The sequence below is a fragment of the Homo sapiens genome, chromosome 19 (genome assembly GCF_000001405.40).
Source record: "Homo sapiens chromosome 19, GRCh38.p14 Primary Assembly".
In the NCBI taxonomy this organism is placed as follows: domain Eukaryota; kingdom Metazoa; phylum Chordata; class Mammalia; order Primates; family Hominidae; genus Homo; species Homo sapiens.
Window position 1 is genome coordinate 44,643,862 of NC_000019.10, and position 15,991 is coordinate 44,659,852.

At 50.2% G+C, this 15,991-nt stretch overlaps 1 protein-coding gene and 1 non-coding gene across 5 annotated transcripts in view, besides 3 other annotated features; one reads left to right on the forward strand and one right to left on the reverse strand.

Annotated features, from left to right (window-relative positions):
- Window positions 1-80: a silencer, noted in NCBI's record as "silent region_10734". NCBI's record gives its function as "represses an Ori minimal core promoter by ATAC-STARR-seq in GM12878 lymphoblastoid cells {active_cell/tissue: GM12878}" and the evidence as "EXISTENCE:reporter gene assay evidence [ECO:0000049][PMID:35858748]".
- The window catches only part of PVR (PVR cell adhesion molecule), a 22,253-nt gene continuing 6,310 nt past the window's right edge, over window positions 49-15,991 (forward strand). Inside the window, exons 1-6 of one of the 4 annotated variants that reach the window (NM_006505.5) lie at window positions 49-314; window positions 3,362-3,709; window positions 5,948-6,244; window positions 10,039-10,156; window positions 13,901-14,049; window positions 14,881-15,039. In NM_006505.5, the coding sequence (NP_006496.4) occupies window positions 236-314; window positions 3,362-3,709; window positions 5,948-6,244; window positions 10,039-10,156; window positions 13,901-14,049; window positions 14,881-15,039 (1,150 nt within the window). In that variant the 5' untranslated portion in view covers window positions 49-235. Of the gene's footprint in view, window positions 315-3,361; window positions 3,710-5,947; window positions 6,245-10,038; window positions 10,157-13,900; window positions 14,050-14,880; window positions 15,234-15,991 lie in introns of those variants that run through there. The other 3 variants (NM_001135768.3, NM_001135770.4, NM_001135769.3) reach the window with 3 other exon arrangements.
- On the reverse strand, window positions 9,825-9,871 carry MIR4531 (microRNA 4531). Its single transcript, NR_039756.1, has one exon. It is a non-coding gene; the product is annotated as a microRNA 4531 (primary transcript).
- Window positions 10,842-10,901: an enhancer, noted in NCBI's record as "active region_14764". NCBI's record gives its function as "activates an Ori minimal core promoter by ATAC-STARR-seq in GM12878 lymphoblastoid cells {active_cell/tissue: GM12878}" and the evidence as "EXISTENCE:reporter gene assay evidence [ECO:0000049][PMID:35858748]".
- Window positions 12,677-12,877: a silencer, noted in NCBI's record as "peak3503 fragment used in MPRA reporter construct". NCBI's record gives its function as "represses an SCP1 promoter by STARR-seq MPRAs in K562 erythroleukemia cells {active_cell/tissue: K562}" and the evidence as "EXISTENCE:reporter gene assay evidence [ECO:0000049][PMID:32103011]".

The following is a 15,991-nucleotide window of genomic DNA, read 5'->3' on the forward strand; positions in this document are numbered from 1 at the left end:
GGCCCACCCCGCGCCTGGCGGGACTGGCCGCCAACTCCCCTCCGCTCCAGTCACTTGTCTGGAGCTTGAAGAAGTGGGTATTCCCCTTCCCACCCCAGGCACTGGAGGAGCGGCCCCCCGGGGATTCCAGGACCTGAGCTCCGGGAGCTGGACTCGCAGCGACCGCGGCAGAGCGAGCGGGCGCCGGGAAGCGAGGAGACGCCCGCGGGAGGCCCAGCTGCTCGGAGCAACTGGCATGGCCCGAGCCATGGCCGCCGCGTGGCCGCTGCTGCTGGTGGCGCTACTGGTGCTGTCCTGGCCACCCCCAGGAACCGGTGAGTGACCCCCGCGCAGTCCGGTGGCCCCTGTCTGGCTCCCAGCTCCGCATCCAGGCCGGGTACTCGCCCCCTTGGGTTCCCGAAGATGACGGCCCCGCCCGGCGCCACCCACCCCCCATCTCTGCCCCGGGGTTGGAAGGAACACGGTGCGAGGGTGCGAGGGCAGGACCCTCCTCTTGGCCACCCGGAGAGCGGTCGGAGTTGGGTACAGAAATTCCTCGAAATTGGCAGCAACACGGGTCGGGCACAAGACCCTCCTCTGGGCCCCTCGGAAAGGGGATGGAGTTGGGTGAGGAAATTTCCCAAAAAGGCAAGTGAATCCCGGAAAATCAGCAGATGGTGACGCATGCCGGATTACCTTACCCAGGTTCCTGCTCAGCATACCCAGGCCATAACCCAGCAGCGTGCTGGCAGGCTGGGTCTGGACGGAGGGGATGGTTGATGTTGGGGAGGAGGACAGTGGGTGACACTTGACACCATTACCCCTCTGACCCCCAATGTCTGACTCCAGGGGCCTGGCCATTCATTCATTCTTTCATTCTTTTTTTTTTTTTTTTGAGACAGTCTCACTCCATCACCCAGGCTGGAGTGCAGTGTCCTGCTCTCGGCTCACTGCAGCCTCCTCCTCCCGAGTTCAAGCGATTCTCCTGCTTCAGCCTCCCGAGTAGCTCGGATTACAGACATGTGCCACTATGCCTGGCTAATATTTTTGTATTTTTAGTAGATACAGGATTTCACCATGTTGGCCAGGCTGGTCTCAAACTCCTGATAAATATATATATTATATATTATTATTATATATTACATATTATAGTAATATATAATAAAAATATATAATATATATTATAGTAATATATAATATATAATAAAATATATAATATATATTATAGTAATATATAATATATAATAAAATATATAATATATATTATAGTAATATATAATATATTATAATATATTATATATATTATTATAATATATAATATGTATATTATATATTATATATATTATTATAATATATAATATGTATATTATATATTATATATATTATTATAATATATAATATGTATTATGTATTATATAATTGATAATATATAATAATATATTTCTTAATAAATATATATTAAATATATTATATATTTATAACATATATTATTTATATAATAAATAATATATATTTTATTATACATTTAAAGAGTAAATAGATAACATATTTTATTATTTATTTATATGTTTTGTGTATATATATATATATATATATATATATATAGTGCGTGTGTGCGTGTATGTGTGTGTGTGTATGAGAGAGACAAGGTCTTGCTTTGTTGCCCAGGCTGGAGTGCAGTGGTACAATCCCGGCTCATTGCAAACTCGACTTCCCAGGCTCAAGCGATCCTCTCACTGTGGCTTCTGGAGTAGCTGGGATTATAGGTGCTCACCTGGCTAATTTTTTTTGTATTTTTGGTAGAGACAGGGTTTCGCTATGCTGCCCAGGCTGGTTGCAGCCAAGCACAGTGGCTCATGCCTGTAATCCCAACACTTTGGGAGGCTGTGGTGGGAGGATCACTTGAGCTTAGGAATTCAAAACCAGCCTGGGCAATATGGCAAGACCCCATCTCTACAAAAATAATTAACTAAATAAAAATTTAAAAATAAAAAAGAATGCATAGGACCATGTTTATTAGTGTCAATAAGCGCTGTCACATTTTGAGGACCTACTATGTGCTAGGGCCCTTAGCAGAAAGATTTTTATATAGGACCTGGGGGATTAGAGGTCAGTCTCTGACCGCCCAAGTTCAAATCCCACCTCTGCCACTAAACCTCTGTATGACTTGGAGGACACTATACTCTGTGTCAGTTTCCCTGTCTGTAAAATGATGTTAACAGTAGTGCTTGCCTCAGGGGGGCTATTTGAGGATTAAATGCCAAGATATATGTGAAGCACCCAGAATAGCCCCTGATCTGTGTCAGCACCCTGTGAGTGTCCACTGTTCTAAGTCTCATTTTACAAACTAGGAAAAAGAATCAGAGAGGTTAAGTAACCGGCCTGAAGCTCCACAGCAGAAAACTGAAGGGACCCAAAACTCCTGGGCTATAATTGCCTTCCTCTCGTGCCTCAATCCCCCACATTCTTCCAACCAGGACCCACCCAGAGTAATAATGCAGTGTTTCATGGATTTGAAGACCCAAGATTTCTCCCCGTTTTCTACATTGGGGTTATTCTAACCCCTAATGGCAAGTTGTGCTATAAATGACAACAGTCATGGTATGTGAAACCTACGACACTGGTGCGATGAAAAAGTTCTGGGCCAGGTGCGGTGGCTCATACCTGTAATCCCAGCACTTTGGGAGGCCGTAGTGGGAGGATCACTTGAGGTCAGGAGTTCAAGACCAGCCTGGCCAACATGGTGAAACCCCATCTCTGCTAAAAACAAAAATACAAAAAATTAGCCAGGTGTGGTGGTGGGAGCCTGTCATCCCAGCTACGCGGAAAGCTGAGGCAGGAGAACCGCTTGAACCCCAGAGGCAGAGCTTGCAGTGAGCAGAGATCGCGCCACTGCACTCCCCCTGGGCGACAGAGAGAGACTCCGTCTCAAAAAAAAAAGAGAAGAAAAGAAAAAGTTCTGGCGCTATATAGTAGTAACGGTTGCACAATATCGTGAAATGTACATAGTGCCACTGAACTGTATGCTTTAAATGACTTAAATGGTAAATTTAGTTTTTTAACCACAATATTTACCACAATTTTTTAAATCAGTGATGTTGAGATTCAGGGAAATACGGTAATAATAGAAGAAATACGGTAATAAATAGCCAAAGTGAAGGAGCACGGCCAAGTTGCAGACCATCCCAGACGCCCTTACCCTCCTCGCCTGCCATGGCCCCAACTAGTGCCCCAGTTCCCCCTCCCCCCACACCCCACGGTCCACCGGGGATCCAGGGCCCCAGCGTGCAAGTGCACGCCCAGGTGCCCGGGCTCCTGGAGCCCCTCCCTATCTAGTCCAAGAACGCCCCGGGTCTGACACCTTCTCTTCGGTTCTCCGCAGGGGACGTCGTCGTGCAGGCGCCCACCCAGGTGCCCGGCTTCTTGGGCGACTCCGTGACGCTGCCCTGCTACCTACAGGTGCCCAACATGGAGGTGACGCATGTGTCACAGCTGACTTGGGCGCGGCATGGTGAATCTGGCAGCATGGCCGTCTTCCACCAAACGCAGGGCCCCAGCTATTCGGAGTCCAAACGGCTGGAATTCGTGGCAGCCAGACTGGGCGCGGAGCTGCGGAATGCCTCGCTGAGGATGTTCGGGTTGCGCGTAGAGGATGAAGGCAACTACACCTGCCTGTTCGTCACGTTCCCGCAGGGCAGCAGGAGCGTGGATATCTGGCTCCGAGTGCTTGGTGAGCAGGGGGTTTTGGGGAGGCTGAATGAAAGGCAGAGACTTGGTGGGAGGATCAGGGAAGTTGGCAAAGAGCGGGGAGGCCTGGGAGGGAGGGAGATTCCCTCCACAGCAGATCCCCTGGGGACAAAAGGAGGGGGCAGCGCAATGATGTGGGGTGGGGTGGGGGGAGGTGAGTGGGGGGAGGGGCTGCAGGGCAGGAAGAAAGCAGAGATCTCAGGGAGTAAGGACCCCCAAGCCTGGGATCAGAAAGCCCTGAGGGAGGAGGAGGGGTATATTGGAAAGGGAGCTGGGAGGGGACTGGGAAGGAAGGGAGGAGGCCTGGGTGGCCTCTTCTGGGTCCCTCCTTTCCTCATCTGTAAAAGGGTTGGTGACAACAGCATCACCCTTGGAAAGCTGTCCTGAGTGTCATCACTGCCTAGGAAAGAGTCTGTCTGCCCCCTTGGACTGTGTACCCATGAGGGCAGAACCGGGGCTATTTTGATCACTGCTGGGCCCCAGCACTTTCCACCAAACAATATTTATTGAGCACTTATTATGTGCCATTCTAAGAGCTTTACCTGCATATTCTAATTGCCTGTGATTCCATCATTATCACCTGTTGACAGACAAGGAAACTGAGGCACAGACTTGCCCAAGACCAAAGCTGCAGCCTTAGGGCAGCGGCGCTTCACCGCTGGCCCATGTGAGCCCCTTAGAGCTGTCGGTTACTGTTACTTTATCTGGTGAAGAAGGAGAAAGTTGAAACAGACAGACAGGAAAGCAAGGATCCTGATACCCAAAAGAGGAGGGGATCATGCTTTCATTTTCATGAGCTCCATGAAGCCTTCCTCTTGGAACTTGAGCAAGAAGTCTCTGTGCCTCAGTTTCCTCATCTGTGGGATAGGGATCACCATGAGGATTCAAAAAAACTGACCCTTTTTTTTTTTTTGAGATAGTTTAGTTCTGTCGCCCAGGCTGGAGTGCAGTGGTGTGATCATAGTAGGTCCTCACTGCAGCCTGGAACTCCTGGGCTCAAGGGATGTTCCTACCCTCCCTGTAGCTGGAATTACAGGAATGTGCCACCATGCCCAACTTGTTTTCTGTTTTGTTTTGTTTTGTTTTGTTTTCTTTTCTTTTTAAGCTTATGTGCCAAGAACTATTCCAAGCCTGTGCATGAGAAACTCATGAAATGTCAAGGGCTTGGAACTGTGCCTAGCACACAACACCCAACCAAAGGCAGCTGTTGTCACTCCAGCAAGCCTGGGATTCTGGGTATCATGGTTTAGGATGAGGGTAAAACAGAAACAGTGAGTCAAGTTAAGGAGAAATCTTCGGTAAATAATATAGGTAATGATGGGGAAGGAAGTTCCAGGTTTGGGAATCACCAGGATGATGATTAAGAGATGGTCAAGGTGGTTTTGGAGTCAGACAGACTTTATGTGAAAGCCCAGCTCTGCTGCTTACAGCTGTGTGACCATGGGCAAGTCACTTCCCTTCTCAACTTCAGGGCTCAGGCTTCCTCTCCTCCACTGAGCCCCAGACCAGGATAACCCCCTTTGGGTTTCCCCTTTCCAGCCCTGCCCTCTCCGAGTCATCACTGCCTAGGAAAGAGTCCGTCTGCCCCCTTGGACTGTGTACCCATGAGGGCAGAACCAGGGCTATTTTGGTCACTGCTGGGCTCCAGCACTTTCCACCAAACAATATTTATTGAGCGCTTATTATATACCATTCTAAGAGCTTTACCTGCATATTCTCATTGCCTGTGATCCCATCACTATCCCCTGTCAACAGACAAGGAAACTGAGGCACAGACTTGCCCAAGACCACACAGCTGCTCAGGGACACAGCTGGGATTTAAACCATGCCATTCTGTATCTTTTTTTTTTTTTTTTTTTTGAGACAGAATCTCACTCTGTCGCCCAGGCTGGAGAGCAGTGACACAATCTCAGCTCACTGCAACCTCCGCCTCCCGAGTTCAAGCAATTCTCTGGTCTCAGCCTCCCAAGTAACTGGGATTACTGGCGTGTGCCACCATACCCTGGCTAATTTTTAATAGAGACAGTTTCTCCATGTTGGCCAGGCTGGTCTCGAACTCCTGACCCCAAGTGATCCACCCACCTCAGCCCCCCAAAGTTCTGGGATTATAGGCGTGAGCCACCCCGCCCAGCAACCATGCCATCCTGTACCCTTAATGAATGCCCCCTTCTGCCACGGAGGGGTTCATTGAATGACTTGTTGCTTTTGTTCCTCTTCCCAGCCAAGCCCCAGAACACAGCTGAGGTTCAGAAGGTCCAGCTCACTGGAGAGCCAGTGCCCATGGCCCGCTGCGTCTCCACAGGGGGTCGCCCGCCAGCCCAAATCACCTGGCACTCAGACCTGGGCGGGATGCCCAATACGAGCCAGGTGCCAGGGTTCCTGTCTGGCACAGTCACTGTCACCAGCCTCTGGATATTGGTGCCCTCAAGCCAGGTGGACGGCAAGAATGTGACCTGCAAGGTGGAGCACGAGAGCTTTGAGAAGCCTCAGCTGCTGACTGTGAACCTCACCGTGTACTGTGAGTGTGCCCAAGTCAGCGATGGCAAGAACCCCTGCCGGGCTGCCCCCACCACTGTCTACACTGACTCCCCAAGGCACTGTAGGCATTGCTTCCATCATCTGCACCGGCTCCCCTGACTCCTGTCTACACGACCCACCCCCATTGTCTGCACCAGCTCCCCTGGGCCGTAAACAACACTGTCCCTATTGTCTACACCAGTTTACTTGGGCCATAGTCAATGCTGGTACCCAGACTGTCTGCCCTGGCTCCTCTAGCGGCTGTCTGCACGGATACCTGACACTCTGTTGACTCCCTTGAGCACAGTCTACACTGCCCCTAAACTGCCTACACCCATTTCCCCAGGCAAGTATCCACAATGACCCTCCCCACATTGCTACACTGGTTCTTCTGGCCACGATCAACACTGCCTCCCTTATTGTCTACACCCACTCCCTTGTCCTTTTCTTTCTTTCCTTTTTTTTTTTTTTTTTTTGAAATAGAGTCTCACTCTGTTACCCAGGCTGCAGTACAGTGGCATGTTCTCGGCTCACTGTAACCTCTGCCTCCCAAATTCAGGTGGTTCTCCTACCTCAGCCTCCCAAATAGCTGGGATTAAAGGTGCACACCACCACACCTGGCTAATTTTTGTATTTTTAGTAGAGACAGGGTTTCATCATGTTGGCCAGGCTGGTTTCGAACTCCTGACCTCAGGTGATCGGCCTGCCTCAGCCTCCCAAAGTATGCTGGAATTATAGGCATGAGCCACTGTGCCCGGCTTTTTGTTTTGTTTTGTTTTTCCTTTGGACAGGGTCTCGCTCTGTCACCCAGGCTGGAGTGTAGGGGCATGATCATGGTTCCTACAGCCTCACCCTTCCAGGCTCAAGCAATCCTTCTCCCTCAGCCTCCCAAGTAACTGGGACTACAGGTGCAGCCACCATGCCCGGCTAATTTTACAGTTTTTTTCTAGAGAGAGTTTTGCTGTGTTGCCCAGGCTGGTCTCAAACTCCTAGGCTTAAGTGATCCTCCCGCCTCAGTCTCCCGAAGTGCTGAGATTACAGGCGTGAGCCACTGCACCTGGCCCCTTGTCCATTTTCTACACTGCCTTACCATTGTCTACACTGGCTCTCCTGGGCCACAGACAGCACTAACCCCATTGTCTACACCACCTATTTTGGCCACCAGCTGTGGGGTGTTTTCACTGTCTCCCATAGTGTCTACACTGGCTCCTATGACCACTGTCTATGTAAACACCCCACTTTTTCTACACTGGTTCTCCTAGGCACTCTCTAAAGTGCCCCCTGACACTGTCTACACTGACTCCCTGGAGAACTGTCTGCATTCACCTCCCACATTGTATCGACCAGTTCCCCTGAGCCACGATCAACTGTCTCCGCCGGGTGCTAGTTGCATTGATCTTCTCACATTGTTTGTGCTGGCTCCCCTAAGCAGTGTCTGCAGAGTCCCCCAGTGTAGTCTCCATGTTCCTCTGCCCAATATTGTCTACACTGGCTCATCTACAGGCTATCCAGTCTCACCCCACATCACCACACTGGCCTCCTTGTGTTCTGTCTGCACAGCCCCCTGACAGCATCTGTCCTGATTCTCCTGCACAGCGTTACCTCCACCAGCTCCCTCATGGCATCATCGACATTGACACCCACACATTTATCTCCACTGACAGCCCCAGGACTCTCTAACCAGTGCTGTCTAACAGAAATAGCATGCAAGCTGCATATAGGATTTTAAATTCTCCAGCGGCCACCCCATTAAAAAATTAAAAGAAAGAGGCCAGGCACGGTGGCTCACGCCTGTAATCCCAGCACTTTGGGAGGCCGAGGCAGGTGGATCACCTGAGGTCAGGCATTCAAGACCAGCCTGATCAATGTGGTGAAACTCTGTCTTCACTAAAAAATACAAAAATTAGCCAGGCACGGTGGCGGGTGCCTGTAATCCCAGCTACTCGGGAGACTGAGGCAGGAGAATCACTTGAACCTGGGAGGCGGAGATTGCAATGAGCGAGATTACGCCATTGCACTCCAGCCTGGGCAGCAGAGCAAAACTCCATCTCAAAAACAAGAAAAGAAAGAGATGAAATTTATTTGTTTATTTATTTATCTATTTATTTATTTGAGACGGGGTCTTACTCTGTCACCCAGACTGGAGTGCAGTGGCACAGCTCCCTGCAGCCTCAACCTCCTGGGCTTAAGTGATCCTCCCACCTCAGCCTCAGTCTCCTGAGTAGCTGGGACTACAGGCGTGTGACACCATGCCTAGCTAATTTTTGTTTTTGTTTTTGTTTTTGTTTTTTTGTTTTGTGATGAAGTCTTGCTCTGTCACCCAGGCTAGAGTGCAGTGGCACGATCTCAACTCACTGCAGCCTCCGCCTCTCGGGTTCAAGTGATTCTCCTGCCTCAGCCTCCCGAGTAGCTGGGATTACAAGCCCTGGCCACAGTGCCCAGCTAATTTTTGTATTTGTGGTAGAGACGGGATTTCACCATGTTGGCCAGGCTGGTCTCAAACTCCTGACCTCGTGATCCACCCACCTTGGCCTCCCAAATTGCTGGGATTACAGACGTGAGCCACCGCACCCGGCCTATTTTTATTTTTTCTGGAGACAGGATCTCCCTATGTTGCCCAGGCTGGTCTCAAACTCCTGGGCTCAAGTGATCCTCCTGCCTCAACCTCCCAAGGTACTGGGATTACAGGCATGAGCCACTGTGCCTGGCCAAAATTAATTTTTAATAATTGCCTTTACTTAACCCAATATACCTAAAATATTATTTCAACTTGTAATTGTTTTTTTAAAATTATTCTTGAGATCTTTCCCATTTATTTTGTCCTAGTAAAGCCTTTGAAATCTGGTGTGTATTTCGGCCTGGCTATATTTCGAGTGCTCAGTAGTCACATGTGGCCAGTAGGTGCCATATTGGACAGCACAGATCTAGACTAAGCTCCCACATCATCTACACTGGCTCATCCAAATACTGTCTACACACATACACAGAGCCTGTCTTAATTTCGTCAGCTCCCGGGGACACACTGTATATGTGGGGGTGATCTCACCCCCACCACCACATTTTCAACACTGGCCCGACAATATAGCATCTGCTGTAATATTCCAACACCCTGTCTACACTGAACCCATCAGTAATATCCACACAAGCTCTTCTAGACATCATTCATACTGTTCCTCCCACCATTGTCTATACTGCTTACTCCCCGCCAGGCAATTGGTACACAGATTCCCTCAGGTACTGTCTATACTGGAGTCCCTCAACACTGTCACTGGGTCTGAGCGAGGAGGAGATCTACACTGACTCCTACCCCTCGCCCCCGAATAAAACCCTGTCCCATTGGCCTGCCCCCAAGGACATTGAAAGGTCTTCGCTGTCAATCACGTATGGGATGGCTGAGCAGCAGCCTAGAGCAGGGTTATCTGGGACTCTTTCCTGCAGGACTTGTCAGAACCTTGAATACACTGCTGTGTGTTGTGAGTGGTCATTGCCTATGAGTGAGAAAAGGAGGAGGCATTTTCCTGCAGGACACCCAAGACATGCCTGGTCCAGGCTACCCAGGAAAGCTAGTGGAGAAAAGCAGCTCCTCAGAAGCCTTCTCCATGTCCCCACTGACCAAGGACTCCTAGGCTTCTGCTCTCTGTGGCACCCCATCTACCTAGACTCCTCCTAGGCCTCTCCAGCTCCCGCTGTTTTCCAAATATCCCCGGGCCTTTTCCTGCAGTGTCGTGAATCCCGCGTAGCCCCAGGCCCCCCAAAGCCTCCCAGTCTCTGAACCTCTGTATCCATTTCCTGCAGACCCCCCAGAGGTATCCATCTCTGGCTATGATAACAACTGGTACCTTGGCCAGAATGAGGCCACCCTGACCTGCGATGCTCGCAGCAACCCAGAGCCCACAGGCTATAATTGGAGCACGTGAGTCCTGGGTCTCAGGGAGGAGGGGCTGGGGGTCTGGATTTCTAGCACTGAGGGAGGAGGGGCTGGGGGCCTGGACTCCTGGGACTGAGGGAGAAGGGGCTGGGGGCCCGGACCCCTGGGTCTGAGGGACGAGAGGCTGGGAGCCCGGACTCCTGGGTCTGAGGGAAGAGGGGCTGGGGGTCTGGACCCCTGGGACTGAGAGAGGAGGGGCTGGGCCTGGACCCCTGGGTCTGAGGGAGGAGGGGCTGGGGGGTCTGGACCCCTGGGTCTGAGGGAGGAGAAGCTGGGAGCCTGGACCCCTGGGTCTGAGGCAGGACAGACTGGGGCCTGGACTCCTGGTCTAAGAGAGGAGGGAGATTCAGAAAAGAGAAAAAGAGGAGGTTGACTTCGGGCCCCCAGTGGGGGGCATCTCTGTTTTGACATCTCTGTTTTGCGGTTGAGGCGTTTAGCAGGTGGTTGAATCCTGGCTGGTGGATGCACCTGCTTTTTGGGGTGTGCCTGCTCTGTGCCCGGTACTTCCCCCGAATCCCATGTGACCCCATGCTGTGCACAGTCAGCAGCTGTTGCCCTGCCCAGGTTAAAGACCAGCCACGAGAGGGCAGAAGCGGCCCTTGAATCAGCGCTCGGCTCCAAAGCTGGTCCTCCGCCTCTTGGCCAAGCTTGTCTAACCTGCAGGCCACATCATTTGTAAACTTTCTTAAAACATTATGAGACTTTTTTTTTGCGAATTTTTTTAGCTCATTAGCTATTGTTAGTGTTAGTGTATTTTATGTATGGCCCAGGACAGTTCTTCTTCTTCCAATGTGGCCCGGGGAAGCCAAAAGATTGGACACCCCCACTCTAGACTGTAACCACCTCACCGTCACCTTGTGTAACCTACTTGGTTATCTCTGGATGGAGCAAGTACTATATATCCCCATTGTCTAGATGAGAAAGTTGAGGCTCACAGCAATAAGATTTCCCCAGATTCACACTGAGGCTGAGATCAAGAGCAAGGTAAGAAAAAGGCAAAGAGATAATACATAATTTTATAATACATAATTTTACATAAATTACATAATTTTACTGAACCGCCCTTTTTTTTTAAAGAAGGGGCTCTGTTGCCGAGGCTGGAGTGCAGTGGCGTGATCATAGCTCACTGCAGCCTGGACCTCCCTGGGCTCAGGTGATCCTCCCACCTCAGCCTCCTGAGTAGCTGGGACTACAGGCACACGCCACCACACTCAGCTAATTTTGTTGTATTTTTTTTGCAGAGACAGGGTTTTGCCACATTGCCCAGGCTGGTCTGCAACTCCTGGGCTCAAGCAATCAACCCACCTCAGCCTCCTAAAGTGCTGGGATTACAGGCGTGAGCCACCTCGCCCAGCCTTAGGTCTTTTTCCTTATTACAAAAATAACTTGTGTCCACTGTAGAAATATCAAACAATTTAGTTATGAGCAAAAAGAAGAAAGTAGTGCCTATAGTTCAAGTGTACCCAGCCACCTCCAGAAATACCCAGTGACCCCTTATTATACATCCTGTCTTTTTTCTCTCTGTTTCTAAACAAAGACTGGAATTATGCTGTACATATAATTTTGAACCTTTTCGTCTGTCTTGTGAATACCTTTCCATGTCAAAGCACATAGATCCACAACTCCATTTTCCCCCACGTTGTATTAGGAAGACTGTCAAACATACAGAAAAATCATAGGAATTTTCCAGTGAACACTTAAGATTCCACCACGTGGATTCCCCTGCTAACATTTTACTGTGCTTGCTTTATCACGTTTCTGTGATTCCTTCAGTCCCTCTATTCATCCATCAATCATATTATGCATTTCAGAGCACCCCCAGCTCTCCTGCTTTTTTTTTTTTTTTTTTTTTTTTGAGGCAGGGCCTCACTCTGTTGCTCAGGCTGTAGTGCCGTGGCACAATCACAGCTCACTGCAGCCTTGAATTCCTGGGCTCAAGCGATCCTCCAGCTTCAGCCTCCCAGATAGCTGGGACTACAGGCACACACCACCACGCCTGGCTAACCTGGCCCCTTTTTTAGTGTTGCTGGGATTCCACCACTTTAAAAAAAAAATTCAAAGAATAGAGACAGGATCTCACTATGTTGCCCAGGCTGGTCTTGAACTCCTGTACTCAAGCAGTCATCTCACCTGGGCCTCCCAAAGGGCAGGGAAGGGATTCCAACATATGTGGATGTCATCAGTTATTTAACCAGTCCCTAGTAGAGGACACAGATGTCATTTTCCATTTTCAACTCTGCAAATGCCATGGTGGTGTCCATCCCCACTGGTCACTTGTCAGCAGTTGTCCGTGGAAGGAATTGCCGGTCAAAGGTTTTCAACTGGTGTGATGGTGCCTTTACTGTCCTGCCTCAAAGCACCGCAATTCAGGCTCTTGAGCCAGATAGCTGCGTTTGCATCCCAGCTCTGCGGAGCACCCAAAGCCTGATGCTTCCATCTCCTCCACCTCTGTTCATTAAACCAGTGTTCCTTGACTACTTACTGTGTGCCGGGTGCAATTAACCAACATACGTTGGTCGATAAAACAGACCAAATTTCCTCCCCATATAGAGCTTCCATTCTAGTGGTGAAAGAAACAAGAAGCAAGATAAAGTGTGTAGTGTGTGTGCAATGGTGATAAATACCATGGAGAAGACAAAGCAGAGAAGGGAATGGGACTGGGCGCCATGACTCATACCTGTAATCCCAGCACTTTGGGAGGCAGAGATGGGAGGATCACTTGAGGCTAGGAGTTCAAGACCAGCCTGGCCAACATGGCGAAACCCCATCTCTACCAAAAAAGATACAAAAATTGGCCGGGTGTGGTGGCATGCACCTGTAGTCCCAGCTACTCAGGAGGCTGAGGTGGGAAGATTCCATGCACCCAGGAGGTGGAGGTTGCAGTGAGTCAAGATGGTGCCACTGCACTCCAGCCTGGGTGACAGAGTGAGACGCTGTCTCAAAAAAATAATAATTAAATAAATTAAAGAGAAGGGGATGGGAAGGGTGATCATCACAGTTGAAATAGGGTGGCCAAGTGAGGTGTTACTAAGGTGACATCCCAGCAGAGGCCTGAAGGAGATGAGGGTGAGCTCTGCGGGTGCCTAGGGGGAAAGCATTCCAGCAGAGGGAACAGCATGGGCAAACCCATTTCTATCCATCAGTCCCTGCATAAGCAAACACCCTGGACACCTAACTGGAGAGTTTGAGGACCAACAAAGAGGCCACTGTGGATGCAGAGGCGGGAGCAAAGGGGAGAGTAATGGAAAACGTGGGCAGAGGTAGCAGGGGCCAGATCACGTGGGGCCTGTGACACCAGAAGACTTCGGTTTAACTCTGAGCCAGGCTAGGCCCCCAGAGGGTACTGAGCTGAGGTATGGGAACTGACTTAGGGTTCACAGGCGACCTCTGGTGGCCATGTGGGGAACAGACGAGGGGGCGAGGGCAGAAACGGAGCCCAGCGTGGAGGCGGCTGCTGGGGGCCGGGATGCACAGCGCCAGAGCAGGGAGGTACCGTGGAAGCCCTGAGGAGAGGTGGGATTCTGGATGGATCTTAAGGCGGGGCCGACATGATTGGCTAATGGGTTGGGTGTGGGCATGAGAGGAAGGGAAGAGTTGGGGGGCCTCCAGAGTTGCTCTCCGCTTATGCTATAGAGGGCGTGAGGGTTTCTGGGCACGTAGTGCGTGCTCAATCACTGTCACTCCGGACCTGCAGCAGAGGCCACCTCCTCACCTTTCTGTCTCTCCCAGGACCATGGGTCCCCTGCCACCCTTTGCTGTGGCCCAGGGCGCCCAGCTCCTGATCCGTCCTGTGGACAAACCAATCAACACAACTTTAATCTGCAACGTCACCAATGCCCTAGGAGCTCGCCAGGCAGAACTGACCGTCCAGGTCAAAGGTGAGGAACTCCCTGGGTGGGAAGAACAGGGACCAAAGGAAGAGGTCGAGGCAGGGTTCCCTGTCTAATGCTCTCTGGCTCCCATCCTTCTCCTAAGCCTTCTCACAAAAGGACCAGTGGGGCCAGCTTTACTCCCCTGTTAACTCCATACCTATATCACTGGTACCGTTGTTCAGCTGCCTGGATACACTCCCTCCACACACACAGGTTGGGATAGATGTGGAATCCCTCTCTCTCAGGGACTCAGGCCTTTCCAAATATATTAGGCAGACCTCTATCAATTGCAATTGACAGAAACACAAAGTAGTCTAAGCAAAAAAAACCAAACAAAACAGGACTTTATTGAAAATTCACCTTCAGGTATGGTTAGATCCAGGGGCTCCAACCTTGTAACCCAGGAACTTTTATTTTATACATCTCTTGTCTCTGCTTTTCGTTATACTGGCTTTATTCTCAGGCAGGCTCTGAAGCAAGATGGCCCTCGGCAGGGACAGGCTCACATTCTACCAGAATGGCAACAGCAGGAGAAAAAACATACCACTTTCAGTAACTGTAGCCATAGTCCCAGGGCTGGCTCTCATTGGCCCAGCTTAGGCCACAGCCCACCTATGAACCAATCATAGCAGCCAGGGAGAATGGAATATTCTGATTGGCCAGGCCTGTGTCAAAGTCCCATTCTGGGCACCAGAGGGTGGGATCCATTCCACCTGAATTAAATAGACTGAGGCAGTGGAGTGGTGGCTCCCTAAGGAAATTCAAGATGCCATTTCAAGAATGAGGGATAAACCCCAAGAGTTTCCTTACCTAAATACCTGTTTCCTTCTCTTTCAGAGGGACCTCCCAGTGAGCACTCAGGCATGTCCCGTAACGCCATCATCTTCCTGGTTCTGGGAATCCTGGTTTTTCTGATCCTGCTGGGGATCGGGATTTATTTCTATTGGTCCAAATGTTCCCGTGAGGTCCTTTGGCACTGTCATCTGTGTCCCTCGAGTGAGCATCACCAGAGCTGCCGTAATTGAGCACCTACTACGGGCTCTGTGCTGAGTCCTTCCAGTGTGCCTCTCACTGAATCCTCACCCCACTGCCATGAGGTTTCCCCCATTTGACTGATGAGGGTGCAGAGCCAGGGAGCCTTGTTCACTGGTTCATTGATTACATTTACAAATATTATTTACAGAGTGGGAGAAGAGCGTATAGGGTCTTAATGCCATGGTAGGGACTTTGGAATTTAATTCAGGTGATGTGGGAGTCCCTGCCAGATGGATGGAGGGTGAAATAATGCTTAAGCCCTCAGCCTTACTCCATCTGCCTTGTTCAGGAGTGACTCCTAGGAGGAGGTGGCAGGAACTGGCACCTCTGATCCTCAGCTCTAAAAGGGTCTGATGCTTTCACACCTCAAGAGATTTGCACAGGCCGTTCCCCTGCCTGGAGCACCCTCCCATGGCTCCTTCTGGAGAAGTGTGCCAGCTCATTCTGTAATCAGAGGAACGATGCTTTGCTGAGCACTGTCTACATGCCACTTTGTATGTATAACCCCCTCGATTTTAATTTTTAATTTTTTTTATTATTTATGTATTTATTTATTTATTTTTGAGACAGGCTCTCACTGTCGCCCAGGCTGGAGTGCAGTGGTGCGATCTCGGCTCACTGTAGCCTTCACCTCCCAGGTTCAAGCGATTCTCATGCCTCAGCCTCCCAAGGAGCGGGGATTACAGGCACGCACTACTATGCCCAGCAATTTTTGTATTTTTAGGAGAGACAGCGTTTCGCCATGTTGGCCAGGCTGGTCTCAAACCCCTGGTCTCCTGTGATCCACCCGCCTCAGCCTCCCAAAGTGCTGGGATTACAGGCATGAGCCACCACACCTGGCCTGTACAATCTCCTTGAATGCCCACAACCACCCAGCAAAGTGGTTCTCCCGTGAGCCCCATGTTACAGAGGA